At 46.1% G+C, this 20,312-nt stretch overlaps 1 protein-coding gene and 1 long non-coding RNA gene across 18 annotated transcripts; one reads left to right on the top strand and one right to left on the bottom strand.

The window, feature by feature from the left end:
* Positions 5,998-10,514, bottom strand: SFTPA1 (surfactant protein A1). 17 transcript variants are annotated; one of them, XM_047425668.1, is made up of 7 exons: positions 10,471-10,514; positions 10,064-10,168; positions 9,812-9,871; positions 9,456-9,650; positions 9,022-9,141; positions 8,187-8,264; positions 5,998-7,716 (listed from the first exon to the last, which is right to left on the bottom strand). In XM_047425668.1, the coding sequence occupies exons 3-7, from the start codon at positions 9,831-9,833 to the stop codon at positions 7,340-7,342; spliced, it is 792 nt and encodes a 263-aa protein (XP_047281624.1). In that variant the 5' UTR covers positions 9,834-9,871; positions 10,064-10,168; positions 10,471-10,514; the 3' UTR covers positions 5,998-7,339. The 17 variants fall into 17 exon arrangements, with proteins under 17 accessions (XP_047281624.1, XP_047281628.1, XP_047281626.1 ...); XM_047425672.1 differs by having other exon boundaries at positions 9,812-9,874; positions 10,076-10,168; XM_047425670.1 differs by having other exon boundaries at positions 10,076-10,168.
* Positions 16,843-18,095, top strand: LOC124902469 (uncharacterized). Its single transcript, XR_007062215.1, has 2 exons — positions 16,843-17,215; positions 17,836-18,095. It is a non-coding gene; the product is annotated as an uncharacterized LOC124902469 (long non-coding RNA).
* Positions 18,096-20,312: the final 2,217 nt, after the last annotated feature.

Genomic DNA, 20,312 nt, shown 5'->3' with positions numbered 1-20,312 from the left:
TTAGAATGGCGATCATTAAAAAGTCAGGAAACAACAGGTGCTGGAGAGGATGTGGAGAAATAGGAACACTTTTACACTGTTGGTGGGACTGTAAACTAGTTCAACCATTGTGGAAGTCAGTGTGGCGATTCCTCAGGGATCTAGAACTAGAAATACCATTTGACCCAGCCATCCCATTAATGGGTATATACCCAAAGGATTATAAATCATGCTGCTATAAAGACACATGCACATGTATGTTTATTGCGGCACTATTCACAATAGCAAAGACTTGGAACCAACCTAAATGTCCAACAACGATAGACTGGATTAAGAAAATGTGGCACATACACACCATGGAATACTATGCAGCCATAAAAAATGATGAATTCATGTCCTTTGCAGGGACATGGATGAAACTGGAATCATCATGCTCAGCAAATTATCGCAAGGACAAAAAACCAAACACCACATGTTCTCACTCATAGGTGGGAATTGAACAATGAGAACACATGGACACAGGAAGGGGAACATCACACACCGGGGCCTGTTGTGGGGTGGGGGGAGGGGGGAGGGATAGCATTAGGAGATATACCTAATGCTAAATGATGAGTTAATGGGTGCAGCACACCAACATGGCATATGTATACATATGTAACAAACCTGCACGTTGTGCACATGTACCCTAAAACTTAAAGTATAATAATAATAAAATTAAAAATATATATATATATAAATTGCAAAAAGAGATATACAAAATTTCTACTGTTTGTAAATAGAAACATATAAAATATAACAAAATCAGTTATATTAGAAATATTGGGGGAAAACGAGGTTCCAAAAAGATGGTAGGGTATAAGATCAACAAATAATATATATCAAAAATTTTTCTTACAAACTAGCAATAATTAATTTAGAATATAAAATAGTATAGTAACAACAGAAAATTAAACCACAAAGTAAGTAAAAATAAATCTAAAAAGAAATGAGAAGATGGCCGATTAGAAGCAGCTGTAGTTCGCGGCACTCACAAAGAGGAATGAAAGGGGCGAGTGAACACAGCACCTGAAATTGAAATATCCAGATAGTCACATTGGGACTGTTCAGGGAAATAACTTGACCCACAGACAATGAAGGAAAGCAGGATTGGACAATGGCCCACCCAGGAGTGACACAGAGCTAAGGGAACCCCCACCCCCAGCCAAGGGAAGGGGTGTGTGATTGTATTACCCCAGGAAACCACTGTTCTCCCACAGAGCTTTGTAACCCACTGATCAGGAGATCCCCTCATGAGCCCATGCCAGGTCTGACACACAGAGCTGTGTGCAGTCTTGGCAGAGCAGCTACTCATGCACACACAGAGACTTAGGAGTTTTATATGCCCTAGCCCCGGGATCCCCAAAAACTGTGTCTGCAACTCAGAGGTACAAAGGTGGGAGGTCCACACATACCCCTAGGAAGGGGGTAAAATCCAGGGAGCCTGAGCAGCCTCATTCCATGGGCTCCACTTCCATGGTACCTCGCGAGATAATACCCACTGGCTTGGAATTCCAGGTTGCCATCAGTAACAGGATGGAGCCTGCCTGAGACAGAATGGAGCCCCAGGGAGGAGGGTTGACTCAGCCCTTTCAGTCTATGGGCTTTGGAAAGTCCACACAGTCCAGACAAGAAAGAATCCCCGCAGAAGCACAATGTAGTTGCTTTGACAGATGGTGGCCAGACTGCTTCTTTTAGCAGGGACCTGATCCATTTCTCCTCACTTAGTGGGACCTCCCAGCCAGGCTTTCCAGCCATTCCCACTGGCACATATTACGGACAGAGCTCTGATCTCTCCCTGGGACCACCTTCACTGGTGATACCTCCAGGTATGGGAAGAACTGAGGCAACTAGGGTCTGGAGCAGCCTCCCAGCAAACCACAGCAGCCCTATGGAAGGGTGGGAAGACTGTTAAAAGAAATACAAATAGACGGAAAACAACAACAACAACAACAAAGAAAAACAACAAAAACCCCATCCAAAGGTCAGTAACCTTAAAGATCAAAGGTAGGTAAGCCAACAAAGATTAGAAAGAATCAATGCAAAAATGCTGAAAACTCAAAAAGCCAGAGTGCCCCTTTTTCTCCAAATGACTGCAACACCTCCCAGCAAGGGCTCAGAACTGGGCTGAGGCTGAGATGTCTGAATGACAGAAGTAGGCCTCAAAAGGTGGGTAATAACAAACTTCACAGAGCTAAAGGAGCATGTTGCAATCCAATGCAAAGAAGCTAAGAATCTTGATAAAATCATATGGAAACTGACAGCCAAAGCAGCCAGTTTTGAGAGGAACATAACCAACCTGTTAGAGCTGAAAAACAGACTGCAAGAACTTCACAGTGCAATTACAAGTATTAATAGCAGAGTAGACCAAGTGGAGGAAAGAATCTCAGAACTGGAAAACTTGCTTTCTGAATTAAGACAGGCAGACAAAAATAGAGACAAAAGAATGAAAAGAAATGAACAAAACCTACAAGAAATATGGAATTATGTAAAGAGACTGAATCTATCACTGATTGGGGTATCTGAAAGTGATGGGGAAAATGGAACCAAGTTGGAAAACATACTTCAGGATATCATCCAGGAGAAACTCCCCAACCAAGCAAGACAAGCTAATATTCAAATTAAGGAAATGCAGAGAACCCCAGTAAGATACTCCATGAGAAGATCATTTCCAAGATAAAATAATCAGATTCTCCAAGGTCATAATGAAAGAAAAAATGTTAAGGGCAGCCTGAGACAAAGGCCAGGTCACCTACCAAGGGAAGTCCATCAGACTAACTGTGAATCTCTTAGTGGAAACACCACAGGTTAGAAAAGATTGGGGGCCAACAGTCAACTTCCTTTAAAAAAAGAATTTCCAACCCAGAATTTCATATCTGGCCAAACTAAGCTTCATAAGCGAAGGAGAAATAAAATCCTTTTCAGACAAGAAAATGCTGAGTGAATTCATCATGACCAGGTCTGCTTTGCAAGAGCTCCTGAAGGAAACACTAAATATGGAAAGGAAAACTGTTACCAGCCACTACAAAAACACACCAAAGTACACAGAGCAGTGACACTGAAGCAACCACATAAACAAGTCTGCAAAATAAGCAGCTGGCATCATCATGACAGGATCAAATCCACACATATCAATACTATTCTTAAATGTAAATGGAGTAAATGACCCTAATTAAAAGACACAGAATGGCAAGCTGGATAAAGAATTAAGACCCATCAGTATGTTGTCTTAAAGAGACCCATTTCATATGCAAAGACACACATAGGCTCAAAATAAAGGGATGGAGGAAAATTTACCAAGCAAATGAAAAACAGAAAAAAGCAGGGGCTGCAATCCTAGTTTCTGACAAAACAGACTTTAAACCTACAAAGATAAAAAAAGACAAAGAAGAGCCTTACATAGTGGTAAAGAGTTCAATTCAACAAGAAGAGATAACTCTTCTAAACATATATGTGCCCAATACAGGAGCACTCAGATTCATAAAGCAAGTTCTTGGAGACATTCAAAGAGACTTAGACTCCCACACATAATAGTGGGAGACTTTAACACCCCATTGACAATATTAGATAGATAATTGAGACAGAAAATTAACAAAGTTATTCAGGATCTGAACTCAACTCTGGATCAAGTGGACCTGTTAGATGTCTACAGAACTCTCCACCCCAAAACAACAGAATATACATTCTTCTCATTGACACATCCTACTTACTCTAAAATTGATCACATAATTGGAAGTAAAACACTCAACAAATGAAAAAGAACTGACATAATAACAAACAGTCTCTCAGACAATAATGCAATCAAATTAGAACTCGAGATGAAGAAGTTCACTCAAAACCACACAACTACATAGAAATTGAAAAACCTGCTCTTGTATGACTCTTGGGTAAACAATGAAATTAAGGCAAACATCAAGAACTTCTTTGAAACTAATGAGAACAAAGACACAACATGCCAGAATCCCTGGGACACAGCTAAAGCAATGTTAAGAGGGAAATTTATAGCACTAAATGCCCATATCAAAAAGTTAGAAAGTTAATAACCTAATATCACAACTAAAAGAACTAGAGAACTAAGAGCAAATAAACCCCAAAGCTAGCAGAAGAAAAGAAATAACCAAGATCAGAGCAGAATCGAAGGACACAGAGACACGAAAAACCTTAAAAATATCAACAAATCCTGGAGGTGGATTTTTGAAAAAAATAATAAAATAGATAGATCACTAGCTAGACTAATAAAGAAGAAAAGAGAAGATTCAAATAGACACAATCAGAAATGATAAGGGGGATATCACCACTGACCCCACGAAATACAAACAACCATCAGAGAATACTATAAACACCTCTGTGCACATAAACTAGAAAATCTAGAAGAAATGGATAAATATGCCCTGGACATATACGCCCTCCCAAGAAAGAATCAGGAAGAAATGGAATCCCTGAATAGACAAATAATGAGTTCTGAAGTTGAGGCAGTAATAAATAGCCTGCCCACCAAAAAAATCCCAGGACCAGATGGAGTCACAGCTTAATTCTACCAGAGGTACAAAGAAGAGTTGGTACCATTCCTACTAAAACTATTCCAAAAAATTGAAAAGAAGCAACTCCTCCTTAACTCATTCTGTAAGGCTAGCATCATTTTGATACCAAAACCTGGCAGATACAACAAAAAAGAAAACTTCAGGCCAATATTCTTGATGAACATTGATGCAAAAATCCTTAACAAAATACTGGCAAACCGAATCAAGTGACACATCAAAAAGCTTATCCACCACAATCAAGTAAACTTCATCCCTAGGATGCAAGCTTGGTTCCACATACGCAAATCAATAAAAGTGATTCATCACATAAACAGAACTAAAGACAAAAACCACATGATTATCTCAATAGATGCAAATTTTCAGAGGCTTAAAGTATTTATCTATATAATTGGGAATGTAGACTGTCCTGGATTTACAACTGTCCGACTTACAATTTTTCCACTTTGCAATGACTTAAAAGCAATGCAAATCCAGTAGAAGCCATACTTCAAGTACACATATAACTGAATTATTCATTCAGTTTCAGTCCAGCATTCCATAAATTTCATGAGACAGTCAACACCTCATTATAAAATCAGCCTTGTGTTAGATGATTTTGCCCAACTGCAGGCTAACATAAGTTTTCTGGGCATGTTTAAGTTACTCCAGGCTCAGCTATGATGTTTGGTAGGTTAGGTGTATTAAATGCATTTTCCACTTAATATATTCTCATCCTGCAATGTGATTATTGGGATGTCACCCCATCATAAGTCGAGATACATCTGTACATGCTTCTACTTGCTTTTTTTCTTAATTTTGAAGAAGGCTCAATAATTTCTGTGCTGGGTCCTAAGCACATATGGAATGGTGATCAGATTAAAAATTATCACTCATAAAAGACTGAGAAAAATTTCCTCTTATTCTCATTGGTTTTCTGAGCTTCCTTCCGCCCAAGAAAAGCAATAAATGCACTGAGAAAGAGTGTTCACAGGTGTTATAGGGGGAGAAGTGGGAGGTGGGACACATATGTAGCTGCCTCCTCAAGCAATTGGAGACATTGTCTCATTCCTGCGCAGCCCTGGGTCATGAGAGTGTGGTCCCATTCCATGCAGACCTGAGACTAGGATGGCTCACTAAGGCCTGGGACTGAGCCCTGAGTGCCACCATCACTGCTGGGCTGCAGAAATCATTCAGGTGGCTGAGTAGGGGACAGAAGACATGGTATTCCCACCCACAAATGGACCATGTGGACTCAGGAAGCCCGTATGTTCTTCCAAATGGTGGCTGTAGCTCCCCATCCCTCTGCAGCATCATAGTGAGGAGAGGAGGTGGCTCCTCCTACCAAACAAAGAAAGCACATCCTGAGATTGAATTTTCCAATCTTCAGGCAAGTGGGGGCTCAGAGTCAGAGTTCATTTGATTTACAAAAATACAGAAATGTGATATTTCTTGGAACCAAAGCTATGGAAACTCATGTGAACACATTCACGATTTATTAAGCTTAAATCATCTTTATTCAGCTCAGGAGTGGGGTGGCTGGAAGCATAAGCTTCAGGTCCAGGAAGATGGGTTTGGATCCAGCCTCTGCCACTTGCTCTCTGGAATAATACTCAAAACATTTAACTCCTCCAAGCTTCAGTGTCCTTATAAAAAATGAGGAAACAATACTGGTCCCGTGACATTGTGTAAAGATTGAATAGTACATAATATGCTGTATTAGAAGTGCTTGTCAAGGTTCTTGGCAAATGATAGGTGCTCAGTCAATAGCCTCTGTGTATAGTAACAGTTCTGGTAGTAATTTTGGTAGCTGGGGGGATGGTAATAACTGTGACAGCAACAAGTATCTTATTCCCATTTCACAGATGAAGACATAAGCTCTGGGAAAAAAAAATCTTCAACTGTCACTGATTACCTTGCCCACCCCACGACATATCCTAAGACCTGGCACGTGATAATTTTAATGAAATATCTGGGTGAATGGATTAATGAAAGGAGAAAGCAGAGCCAGTGGTGTGGGGGGTGGTGTGAATGCCCACTGAAATCTGAAGTAGGGTGCAGATTTGTTCATCAGTTGAAAGTTACTCGGGTCACATCTGAAGGCGGCTCTAGGTCACCCTAGAGGCCTAGGCTGGCTGTCTTCAGGTCAGGGGGCTGAGTTGCCATTCAAAGACTCAAAGGAGTGAATCGTACACATCAATCATGGGGTTGGCTTGGCCACCACCCTGCTGGAACACTACCTGGCCTTCTAACCTCATGGAGAGCCTGACCAGGCCTGCCACAGAGACCTCAGAGTGCCAGAGAATCTCCACTGTGTCCTTAGCTCTGCACAGTCAGGGCTTCCCCGAAGTCTGCCTCTCTCTGTCATTATGCTTGGCCAGGATTGCTCATCCTGATGGCACTGGGTTGCAGAGAGAGAGCTGAGGGGACCAGGAGGCAGGCACTTTGTGTGACTTTGGAGGGTCCTTCTACCCCAAGACCTCACTGCTGCCATCTGTAAGTGAAGGAACTGGACCAGATGGGGAATAAGGAGGGCTCCATCTCATGTCGAAGGCCAAGGCTAAGAGTGGCTGCCTGGGGTGCAGTGCTGGGAGAGTTTGCAAGGGGAGTGTCAAGGCTGGTCAGTGATTATGGGGAAGAGTCAGGGCCCATCAGAGGAATGAAGTGGCTAAGGGTGCCTCCAGTCCCAATAGCCACAAGTGAATTCTGTTGAAAGGGAGTTCTAGCATCTCACAGACCAAGTGGAGCCTCAGGATGGAGGCCGAAGGCCAGAGAGCGTCCTCCCTGTCCCATGGCCTAAATGCCTCTCAGAACTCACAGATGGTCAGTCGGGAGTACAGGCAGTTCCTGTCATTCCACTGCCCATCTGTGTACATCTCCACACACTGCTCTTTTCCCCGACCTGCGGGCTCCCCTCGGTACCAGTTGGTGTAGTTTACAGGGGTCCCGTCTGAGTAGCGGAAGTCTCCAGGGCTGGGACCCTCAGTCAGGCCTACATAGGCATATGTGTTGTACTTCTTCACGAAGCTTGCAATGGCCTCATTTTCCTCTGGATTCCTTGGGACAGCAATGCGGCCGCCTGCTCTGGCACATGCCTCCTGAATGGCATCAAAAGTGATGGACTGCCCATTGCTGGAGAAGACCTTCTCTCCTACTGTCATTATGGAGCCCTGCAGACTGAGGGCTGAGAGCAGAGGAGTCCGGGTCAGGCCACTGACCACTTTGTCTCTAAGCCACCTCCCTCACCTGGGGTCTCTGCTACCAGATTCTCCCCAGTCTCTCCATCTCTGCCTCTCTCTGTGTCTTCTCTTCCTCTTCCAATTGCAGTTTTCTAAATTCACTTTTAGACTCTCCTCCATTTATTCATTCACCTAAGTAACAATTACTTATTGCCAGAAATGGTGCAATTTCCTGGAATTCAGTGGAAAGCAAGGCAGGTGGAGAACTTGCTTTCCTATGAAATGGGGAGTGAATTGTGTCTGCTTCTGTCTCCTCTGGGCCATTCAAAGACATCAGAAAAGCAAGCGTCATTCCTTTCCCCAAGACCTGCATGTGCATGCCTATTTGTAATCTCTATGTTCTAGAAGCTGGTGCTGAGAATGAGGGGAATTTGTGGGAAACTCCTACCCCGTGAGGCCCAGGGGGTCCCCTTACCTCCCCTTGTCTGCAGGATTTGATGTCTAAAGTCGTGGAGTGTGGCTTGGAGCTCCTCATCTAGATGAGCTGGAAGCCCTGTGGAGAGTGCCCCACACAGAAGGAGGGGCAGGCCAGTGAAGACTCCCACTTGCTGCCACGCAGGTGTTTTGCCATCTGCAATCCTGGAACTCTGCCCTTTCATTGCTGTTAGGCGCCACCCAGACCCTAGGCTCAGAGGGTCCACAAGATTCCAGTGTGTCTCCACACCCCGTGGTCCCCTATTCTTTAGTGAAGCCTTGCCCCTGCTGAGACCCCCACCCCTTGTCCTCTTTCCTGCTCTGTCCCTCGAGGGGTTCTGTCTGCCCGCCTCTGTGGGGCAAGTCCCTCTCCCGCACCCTCCACCAAGGGCAAGCATGATGCTCTCTGCACTGCCCTGATGGACTTGCTTACCGCTCTGAGCTTCAAAGTTCCCCTCTGTCTGTGGGGCTCCTGATCACACCGTCTGTCTGGATGCCTCGTCCGCATTCACCCTTCAGACAGCCCCCAGGGCCTCCATCCCAGGACATGCCTCCCCTGCCTCCCAGTGCTGTCCCTCATCCCACACCTGACTCAGTGTGTCCCCATCGGTGGTCATGAGGCACGGAGGACTTCCCACACCTGCCTTTCCCTGAATTGTGACCACACTCCCCAGACACCTCAGCTTTCTCCCTCAAGCTTATCCTCTCTTACTTAGGTTGAGCCAAATGCCCTTGGGGAACCTGTAGGGTTTGTCTGATCCCCATCATCCCCGTGTAACTGACTTCAGGGTCGCTGTGCCCATGTTTCCACTGCCCACCTGCCCCACCCTGCTCACCTGGAGGGCCCCTCTCGCCAGGCTCCCCCTTCTCTCCACACTCTCCAGGGATACCAGGGGCTCCAGGCAGCCCATCATTTCCAGGAGGACATGGCATTTCTCCAGGTGGACCCATGGGGCCTGCAGAGAAAAGAGACATGGATGTGTAGGATCTGTCACCCACAACTGGTTGGAGCTAGTGAGACTCGATGCCCATTATCACCAGGGCTGGCTCAGCTATCACTCTATCACTCCGTGGGCACTATGAGGACAGACTCTCCAGGATGCGCCATCATAAGGGCCCCAGGAACCCACCAGCCCTGCAGACTGAAGTCCCACCCAGCTTACTATAGCCCCCAGCTCACTATGGCCCACAGCCTAGGGGCCTGGACAGATGGGCCTCCTGAAAAGGGGTCTGTGTCCCTCAGCTGAGGGTGGGGTCTGCAGCACAGTACCTGGAGGGCCAGGGTCTCCTTTGAGACCATCTCTCCCGTCCCTGCCTGGCAGGCCGTGGGATCCAGGAGTGCCGGGGATACCAGGGCTTCCAACACAAACGTCCTTCACTTCGCACACAGCACCAGAGGCTGCCATCAAGATGAGGTTGAGGGCCAGAGGGCACAGCCACATGGCTCTGGGTCCAGTCGCTGCTCCTGCAGGAGGGATGGCCGTGAGCCCATCTGCCACCTCTGCCAACATCTCCCCCACTGTGCTCTGTCAGGACTCAGGAAGCTGGGCAGAGCCCGAGAGGCAGGGCGGGCGAGACCAGAGTGCTGGGAAGACCCGAAGCTCCCGGGAAAATTCCCAGCATCACCTGGCACCTGGCATGGCCTCATGCTTCAGGCCTCCGGCTGGAGGTTGTGGGGTCTCCAGGCTGCTGAGGAGGAGGAAGAGTAAGGAGCTCTGGGGAGCCCGGGGACCTGGGCTCCAGTGCAGTCTCCTTTCTTTCAGTGCCTCACTATGTTACCCTGGGAAACTGGCTTCACCTCTCTGACTTCAGCTGAATCTTCCGTGCTCTGCAGAAAACCTGCCCTGTCCCTCCCAGGCTATTAGTCAGGTCACTCACTCACTGACTCACACCATCTGTCCTCATCCCTGCTGTGTTACTTTCTTTTCAGGCTCCAAGAAATCAGCGACCTGAGAATGAAAAAAGATGAACGGGGCCCGCAGCCTGGCCCCCCTCAAGGTGGTCAGTCATGGAGTCCCCTTTCTTTTTGGGGTCTGTTCTCTCACTGCCCCTCCTGTAGGCCCTGCTGAACCCTGTAGGGATGGATCTGGCCAAAGAAAATAACAAACATGAGGATCTTTGCAGGTCACCTATGTTGACTGTGCTGTGAAACACCTCCCAGTGGAAAATGGGGAGTTGCCCTCCTTCCCAGCCTGGGCTTTGGTCAGGCCTGTGGCTGCTGGGCTGGTCCTCTCTGCCTGCGATCCTCAAGCTGGAGAACACCTAGGGGATGGGGCTAAACTCACCCACACACAGAGCCTCCAGCTGCTTGGGTCTCTGCCTCCAAGTCAGAGGGTAAGGTAGACGCAGCATTTATAGATGTGGGGGCTGCCAGGCTTCCTCCTCACCCCTGAGAGCCCTACCACAAAACCTGTGCTCCAGGCAGGAAATGGGCATAGTGTTTACACAGCATGTTTCCCCAAGAGCACTCAGGCTGGAGGATCTCAAAGGACCCTTGAGGGGAGCACAGAACCTGCGAAAGAGGAACTCCAGGTCTGTAAGAAGAGAAATCCCCCCCTTGGCTGAGGTCACCCACCCTGCCCCTAGCAAGCTCCTTAGCAGTGAAAGCCGAGAGCCCTTACACAGGCACTAAGGAAGCCCCACTGGGTTCCTGGTTTAGATTCAGACAATGAAGAACTCACTGCTCCAGCTGAGATTGGTCAGGTTGATCCAGGCCAACTTGTCTGTCCTGCGACCTGGCTCAGCCATGAGCCCCAGGCCCCCCCACCAGCCTGTGTCCCTGGAGCCTGCAGCTGAGTTGGTGGGCACATGGGCAGAGTGGCAGGCAAATATGCTGCACGTTCCACTTCCCTCTGCCCTAGCAGGTTCAGCTGGAGGAGTCAGGGCAGCACCTGGAAGGTCACGGGAGAGCTGCAGTTTCTGTCTTTGGTAGAACATCACTTTGGGTGATGTCTGGCAACCTGCAATGGTGATTATGCTAAGTGTCCCAGTGATATATGAAGCCCTAGTTGTTGAGGTCCTGGTTTGAGCATCTGGATTAGGAGGGAATCTCCAACTGTGGAGGTGGTAATGATGGGAACCAAGACAGGAAAATCTCCCCTGGCTTATTTGGAATTGGTTTGAAAAATCCCAAACCATTGAGGAGTCTGGAGCTCTTCCAGGGAGCGGAAGCTCAGCCAATGGACCCCACTCCCAGAAGCAGGAAGCTGGGCAGTGCCAATTTGTAGCATGGAGTCTTTCAGCTGCCCCAGTGCTGTCTGCCACACCATGTGGTGGGTGCTGGGCCAGGTGTGGAATGGGGGAGTCAGGCCAGTGCAGGGTGGGGGCAGGTGGGGCGCAGCTCCAGCAACTTGGCTGTGGGGAGGCAGGGCTGTTTTGCAGGTGATGAGCAGGAACAGAGGCCAACTCAGATGTGCAGGGCCTTGTGGTTGGCAGGGCAGGGCGTGACTTTAGGGGAAAGGCACACCTGAGTTTTCACCCAGAGCTGTCACTTATTACCCATGTGGACTCAGTCAGGTTATGTAACATTTTGAGGCTCAGTTTCCTTTTTGTTTTTATTATCTTGAAACATCAAATTTACAGAAGAATTGCAGGCACGGTACAAATATGTTTCCCTGAACCTATGAAAGTAGGTTGTCAGCATGAAACCCCAACACCCCAATACTTTAATGTGTTTTTCATGCAAAGGCATTTTCGCATTATAACCATAATCAAGAAATTAACATGGATATAATAACTCCAAATAGCCTTCAGGCCCTATGCAAAATGTACCCAATGCCCCAATAGTGTCCTTTATAGCAAAGGATCCATTTCTGAGCCATGTGCCGTATTCGGTTGTCACGCTTCTCCAGGGTCCTGAAACCCACAAAGGCCCTCTGTCTTCCCTTCACCTTCATGACCTGAACACAGTGTGAAGATCACAGGAGAGTTACTGTGTAGAATGCCCCTCACTTTTTTTTTTTTTTTTTTAATGTATTGGCTCATGATTAGATTCAGGTTCTGTAACTTCAGCAGAAATGCGATAGACATCCTGCTGCGCTCTTCTCCCATTCTACCGGGCGGCATGTGACTTTAGTTTGCCCCAAGATTGATGATGTTCTTGTTGATCATTGAATTAAGGTGGTGGGTGTCACGCTTCACTACCATAAATACATTCTTTTTCTGGTTTTAATCAGTGACTATGTTATGAGGACGCACTTTGGGGCTATTGTAAAGATCCCATTCCTCATCACACTGTCTCTGTTGCCCATTGATTGATTTGTAGCAATGTGGACTCGTTCGTGAGGCCTACCACTGACCACCAGGGGGTGCCGAGCACCCACCTGCGGGCTGCAGGGGGCACTACGTGTGTTTGATGTTGAAACAGTTACAGTTTGCCAGCACATGGCACCAGTGAATCTAAAGAATGTCGTTAAGAAGATGGTTCTCCCAACACAAATTTGTCACTCTTAGCTCTAAGAATTGCTGTAGTTCCTGCTGAGTTCCGAGTGCCCACACCAGGCCACTCAGCTGTGTCCACAGCCTCCTCCCCCTGCTTAGGCTCCACTGCCCCCGCCGGTCCAGTCCGCTCTCCTTCAGTATCTTTCTCGTTCTCCTCGGGGCCTCACCCTCCACGTTGGGCTTCTTCCCTCTGCAGGGATATCCTCTTCACACTGCCAGTCCTTGGGCGCCCATGCCAAGCCACCTCAGAGTCCACAGTCTTGCTTTCTCTCTCCATCACACCCTGAGTTTTCACTAAAGAAGGAAGGGAATGAGGCATGCCTCTATTCTCTGTCTTTCAGAATAGGCAACCATCTCTCTTCACCACTCCCAGCTTATACCCCTCTGGAGTGTATCCAGAACCAATGGGACTGCTTTGATCCTCTTAATCTGGAAGAAAAATGCCTCATAGCCCTCTGCACAAAGGTTTGGCCAAATTATGAAGGACCGGGTGGACCTCAGGAATGAACCTTTCATTTCGATAGTATCCGGTGATCAGGCCTTTTCTGTATACATGAAGACAAATGGTCTGAGGTCCCATATGTGCAGGTTTTCTATACCTTGCAAGGCAATCCAGACCTTTGCTGACAGTGTAGGATTGATACAGCCCTCCTGCTTGCCATCTCAGGGAGGACTGCAAGGGGCAAGCCTAGGAAACTAAAGATATGAATCCCAGAGGCACCCCAAGCAGAGAAGCCAGCCCCCTCCAGCTCTTCCCCTCTGGGTCTACCTCGACCTCCCTATTCAGCTTCAGCCTCTCACTTGCCCCCTCCTAAAAATCCTCACCCTAGACAAGCCCCAACCTCACTCTTGCCCCTTCAACCAATGCCTGGTGAATTTGGGCCCAGTAAGGTCCAGTTCCCCTCCTCCCTACAGGACTTAAAGTGAATTAAGGGGGATCTTGGGAACTTTTCAGATGACCCCGACAGATATATAGAGGCTTTCCAGAATTTCACCCAAATATTTGATCTCTCCTGGAGAGACATTATGTTGCTTTTGAACCAGACCTTGACAGACACTGAGAAGCAGGCTGCTCTGCAAGCAGCAGAGAGATTTGGGGATGAGCTTAGTATCACATATAGTGTCAGGGAAGGGGGCAAACATTATCCAACTGGGAGAGAAGCAGTATCAATGGATTACCCTAAATAGGATTCCAATGACAAGATGGAAGCCTGGAAGAGGAGGCACTTTCAGGTGTGCATAATGGAGGGCTTATGTAAGACCAGGACCAAGCCTCTCAATTATACTAAATCATCCATGATTGACCAGGGATTTGATGAAAATCCCACTGCCTTCCTGGAAAGGCCAAGGGAGGCCTTAGTAAAGCACACCTGTCTATCCCCTGATTCAGCTGAGGGACAACCAATCCTAAAGCATAAATTTACTACTCAGGCAGCCCCTGATATCAGGAGGAAGCTACAAAACAGGCTCTGGGACAAGAGAGTACTTTAGAGAACCTTCTGAAAGTACCCACCTTGGTTTTTTATAATAGAGATAGGTAGGCACAAGAGAGAGAGGAAATACAGGAAAGAGACAGAGACTTTAATGGCCAGCAGACAAGCCCACAAACCCCAGAATTCCCAGGGTGCACCTGTCAATTGCTACAGATGTGGCAAATCAGGGCATTTCAAGAATTTCTCAGACAGCATGAGGAAGCTACCTCAACCCTGTCCAATCTGCAGTGGGGACCACTGGAGGGTGGACTGTTCCTGGGCATGCTGGTCACCAGGTCCAGAGCCAGTCTTCCAAATGGTCCAGCAGCAGGACTGACAGGTCCCAGGGCTCCTCTCCTGGCTCCTGTAGTCCAGACCACCATTATCATCAAGGTGCCCTGGGTAATCATGGAAATCGAAGAGAGGAAAGTGGACCTCCTTTTGGACACTGGGACTGGTCTCTCAGTTCTCCTCTTGAATCCAGGCCCCCTCTCCTCTCTTAGCATGACTGTGAGGGACATCTCAGGAAGGTCTTTAACCCGATATTTTTTCCAACCCCTTAGCTGTACCTGGGGTTGTTCACCAAAGCTTTTCTAATTATGCCTGAAAGCCCAACTCCTCTGTTGGGTAGGGATATTCCGGCCCATGTGGGGACCATCATTCTGATGGCCCCTAGGGAAACTCTTTGTCTCATCCTAGTAGAGACCAATATTAACCCAGAAGTTTGGGCAACTCTAGGGAAGATTGTCAGAGCCACAACTACCATACCAGTCTGGGTCCATCTTAAGGATCCCACCTCCTTTCCTAACCAGAAACAATATCCCCTGAAACTAGAGGTTAGGAAAGGACTAGAAGCCATCATTGATAACTTGAAGATGGAGGGCCCACTCAAACCCTGCAATAGCCCTTGTAATACCCCAATATTGGGGGTACAAAAACCCAACTAGAAATGGAGGCTAGTTCAGAACCACCTCCTTGTTAATGAGGCTGTGGTTCCAATACATTCAATGATTCCCAATCCGTATACCCTGCTAGCTCAAATACCTGAGGGAACTAAATGGTTCCTGGACCTAAAGGATGCCTTCTTCTGCATACCATTATACCACAACTCCCAGTATTTGTTTGAATTTGAGGATCCCTCTAACCAAACCACCCTGTTAACCTGGACAATGTTACCTCAGGGATTCCAAGACAGCTCCCACTTGTTTGGGCAGGCATTATGGAGAGATCTCTCCAAGTTCCTTTATCCTCAGGTCAAAGTTTTGCAATACATGGAGGACCTTCTCTTTTGCACTCCAACTGAGGAAATCTCTCAGAAGGGCAGTAAGGCTCCTCTTAATTTTCTTGCTAACAGAGGATATAATGTTTCAAAATCTGAAGCTCAGCTCTGTCAGACTTCAGTGAAGCACCTAAGCCTGGTCTTGTCAGAGGGGACCAGGGCATTGGGCGAAGAAAGGATTAAACCTATCTCCTCCTTTCTCCTCCCCAAACACTCAAGCAACCGAGGGGATTCTTACGCACAGGAAGTGGCAGTAATACATTGTAAAGGCCACCAAAGAGGGATGGATGAAATAGCTGAGGGAAACGGGCTGGCAGACTGAGCAGCTAGGGGCTGAGCCGCTTCCTGTGGGAGGAAAACTGAGCAAAATAGTCTATTAATTTCCTGATGGCATTTAATGGGATACCCATTAGCTGTGAGGAAGTTCCTGTCTTTCCAGATAGTGGCATGGGTGTGGAGAACTAGGAAAGCATACTTAGAATCAGTATAAATGTTAACTGTTTTTCCTTTGCCTAATTCAAGTGCTCTCATGAGGGTAATTAGTTTGGCCAGTTGAGCACTTGTGCCTGAGGAGAGAGGTGTGCTCTCAACAATATCATTCAGAGTAACTATTTCACACCCTGCTTTATGAGCAGCTAGCTAGACTGAGCAGCTAGCAGCAGCAAGGGGGCCCCAGGTCTCTGACCCACTTGAAGCCTTACTGATCTTGGAGGGCCCCCATCAGAGAAATAAAACCTCAATACTCTCCTATGGAAATAGAATGGGACACCTCTTAGGATGGCATGCTTCATCTACCAGCTGGCAACCAATGGAAAGTTCTTAAAAGCCTTCTCCAGGCCTTCCACCTAGGTACAGATAAAACCTACTGACTGGCTCAGATTGTTCTCAGATAAAAACCTGATACAAACAGTTAAACAGGTTGTTAATGCTTGCAAGACCTGCCTTAAAAACAATCCCCTTAATTAATAGTGTCTTCTCCAAGGCTACCTAGGGGAAGACTGGCAAATGGATTTCACCCATATGCCAAAGGTAAGGGGCATCCAGTACCTCCTAGTGTGGATAGATACCTTCACTAACTGAGTAGAAGCATTTCCATGTCAGACAGAGAAAGCCTCTGAGGTGATAATAGTACTAATCAATGAGATAATTCCTCACTTTGGACTCCCTAAGTACCTCCAGAGCAATAATGGCCCCTCGTTCAAGGCAGCTGTCACCCAGGGGGTCTCAAAGGCACTAGGCATACAGTACCATCTTCATTGTGTTTGGAGACCACAATCCTCAGGAAAGGTAGAAAAGACAAAAATGATATTATCAAAAGGCACCTCAAGAAACTGTCTCAGGAGACTCATCTCCCCTGGACTACTCTTCTTTCCATAGTCCTGCTATATATCAGAAACACTCCTTCAAGTCTGGGTTTGAGTCTCTTTGAGACTATGTATGGATGACATTTTCTCATGAATGATTTCTTGCTAGACCAAGAAACCTTTGTTTTAATTAAGCACATAACCTCTTTGGTCCATTTCCAACAGGAACTGAAACAACTGTTGAAGGCCCAATCCCACGAACCAGGCCCACCTCTATTCAACCCAGGGGACCTAGTACTGGTAAAGGTACTTCCTTACCTTTCTCTCTCAATATGCCCTGGTTGGGAGGGACCTTGCACTGTACTTCTTTTCACTCCTGTGGTGGTGAAGGTCAAGGTCACCAGAATAGACTCTTGGATTCATTATACTCAAGTAAAGGCCTGGGAAGCCAACAGAGTCACCTCTTTCAACCTAGAGGAGCATCCAAAATACCATTGTGAAGAGATCAGGGTACTCAAACTAAAAATCACAAAAGGTTAGTGTTAATTAACATTTCATGTATGTCCTCTTTGTAGTCTTGCCTATGCTTGTGGTTCTTACCTTTGTTCTGTTCTATACCACGGGGTACAATAGTGTTTTCAGGGTAATTAGTATATTTTACTTCTTATTTCTGTAATCTTTGGCACTAGATTCTTTCCTTGTATAATACACAATTTTAACCCATGCCTACTTAATCTTATAAAACTTTTTTTTTCCTCTCTCACTTAGAGGTTATCAAACTCAAGATGATCAGGCAATCAGAGCCTCAGATGATGGCTCCCTTTTGTCAGGGACCTTTAGATAGACGTCTGGGAGGAATCTGACTGACATTTTCCCCAAAAAAACTCCCCCTGTCAGCAGGAAGTAGCTAAGACTTGTCATCGTCCATATTCTAAAGGCAGTTAGATGTGCCTCTTCAGAGGAGGGGAATGATAATGACAGGAGACAGTGACACACTGGGTAAAAAAAGGGTGACTCCCCAACAAAGACCCCACCCTCAAGCCTGAAGACCTGTGGCCCTAAATGAGAAAAGACATTTCTGTTTTCATGACCAAAAAGTTGCCTTTTGTTCTGCCACAACCCCTATCCTGCAACCATATAAACCTTGAACCCCAGGCTCCAGAAGCAGACCAGCAGACTAGCAGACAAGCAGATGGACAGTGGAACGACGTGGCAGAGAGAGAGAGAAGAGGAGGAACATCTGAACACTGAGGGGAGTTTGCCCAGGGGCGATCGGAGAAGATACCAGCTACTGGATGGCCCGCCTCCAAGGGAAGATCACCTTCCCACTCCATTTCCCTTTCCAGTCCCCAATCCATCTCACTGAGAGCCACCTCCACCACTCAATAAAATCTTGCACTCATCCTTCAAGCCCACATGTGATCTGATTCTTCCAGGATGCTGGGTGAAAGCTTGGGATACAGAAAGCTGTCACACAGGCCCTCTGCCCTTAGGATAAGGCAGAGGGTCCATTGAGCTGATTAACACTCAAGCCACCTGCGTATGCAAAACTGAAAGAGTTTTGTAACACCAGGATTACAGGCACCCATCCCTAGACTCTACTGAACAGCTGGAGCCCAAAGCACTCACCCCAGCCTCTGAACCTGCCCATCTGCATGCTCCCCCTAGGGGTTTGAGCAGTGGGGCAACCAAACAGGTGAGCCACACCCCTGTCATGCATCCTGTGAGGGGGATCAGGGGACTCTCCCGTTTCAAAGGGGTGCAGAGTGGAGGCCATGTACAGGCACTAAGGACAGTGCATGGGCTTCTCTGCATATTTGAGGCCTCTCTCTTAGTGCTCAGGGGACCCTTCCCCTGCCCCCTTTTCCAGCTGCCCTGGGTGCTAGCAGTAGGAGGAGGCTGTCTGTGACTGCTGGATCTTTCTGTCACTTTGGATCATCACAGCACTCTATGAGTTGTACAGAGAGTAAATCCCCATTCCATACTTCAGTCAGCTGAGGATGACAGGGGTTACATGGATTGCCAGAATTACCAGAAATCTTCTTTCCAGCTCAGTCCTCTGCTAGAACCTTCCCAGAGTCAGAGGAACATGCTTATTCTACCTGTACATGAAGACAAGGGAATGCACAAATTAATTTACTAATCATGGATATATTTCAAAATCGCTTATAATGTCAGAATCTAAGGGACAGCTCAGCCACATGAAGGGGATGGAAGTTGAGGCTTTTCTTTGCTGAGGCAGCCAGCAAACTAAGCAAATATGTGTGTATGCATTATATACATATATATACACACACATATATTGTGTGCTGTATGTTTACATACATATATATTACATTGATGCCTCTCTAATAATGCCATTTTATTTTTAAAAAGAATAACACTGTAAATATATTTCTGTTGCCTAGAAATAGCATCCAATTTGCCTTAAAAATCACATTACTTGTTTTTATTTTCATTTTTGCCAATGCAGCCTTGTCACCCTTCTTTCTGCCCTGAACATTTTGAACCTTCCAAACCCCAGAGAAATACATCATGCTTTACTGAGGTTTTGAGGAGAGGGAGAGAGGTTTTCCCATTCTGCACCTTGGAGGAATTGAAACTGGCAGGTGGCAGCAACTGTCTTCAAAGAAATAGGCTCAGGAACACACACGTGCAGACACACACACACACATTCTCTTACTTTGCACCAATAAGATCATACTGCATATACTGTTCTACAATTAGTGTTTTCTCTTACATATGCCAGCCATCTTTTCAGATTGACACATAGGGATATAATTGTAACTATAGTCTTTTCTTGGAGTTTGTTTGTTTTTACTTCTGGTAATATATTCTTTACTATCTTTTTAATTTAAAAAATGTTATTTTTGACACAATTATTTTACATACATATGGGCACAGTGGACTATTTTGATACATGTATGTAACGTGCAATGATGAAATCAAGGTAAGCAGCATATTCATCACCTCAAAAACTTACTGTTTTGTGTTGATAACATTCAAAATCCTCTCTTTTAGCTATTTGAAAGTATACATAATTTTTTTGTTGGCTATGGTCACCCTACAGCGCTAAAGAAGGCTACAACTCATTTCTCCTATCTAGCTGTAATTTTGTACCCATTGCCCCACCTTTCCCATTTCTCATTCCCCTTAATCTTCCCAGCCTCTAATATATTCTGTTCTACTGTTTACTTACTGTTCTATGTTTACTTCTATGAGATTAACTAAGTTTTCTTAGCATCCACAAATGAGTGAGAACATGCTGTGTTTAATTTTCTTTTCCTGGCTTTATTTCACTTAACATAATGGCTCACCCATGTTGCTATGAATGGCAGAATTTTATTCTTTCTTATGGATGAACTGTATTCCATTGTGTTTAGTTACTACATGTTTTAAATCCATTCATTCACTGATAGACACTTAGGTTGATTCCATATCTTGGCTATTATGAATAGCTCCGCAATAAACATAGGAGGGTAGATACCTCTTTAACATACTGGGTTCCTTTTCTTTGAATACCCAGTAGTGGGATTGCTAGATTATATGATAGTTCTAGTTTTAGGTTTTCAAGAAAGCTTCATTTTGCTTTCCATAATGGCTGTAGTACTTTCCATTTCCACCAACAGTGT

The sequence above is a fragment of the Homo sapiens genome, chromosome 10, assembly GCF_000001405.40.
Source record: "Homo sapiens chromosome 10, GRCh38.p14 Primary Assembly".
NCBI lineage: Eukaryota > Metazoa > Chordata > Mammalia > Primates > Hominidae > Homo > Homo sapiens.
Note: the sequence above shows the minus strand (reverse complement) of the source record. Positions and strands in the feature narration are given on the sequence as shown.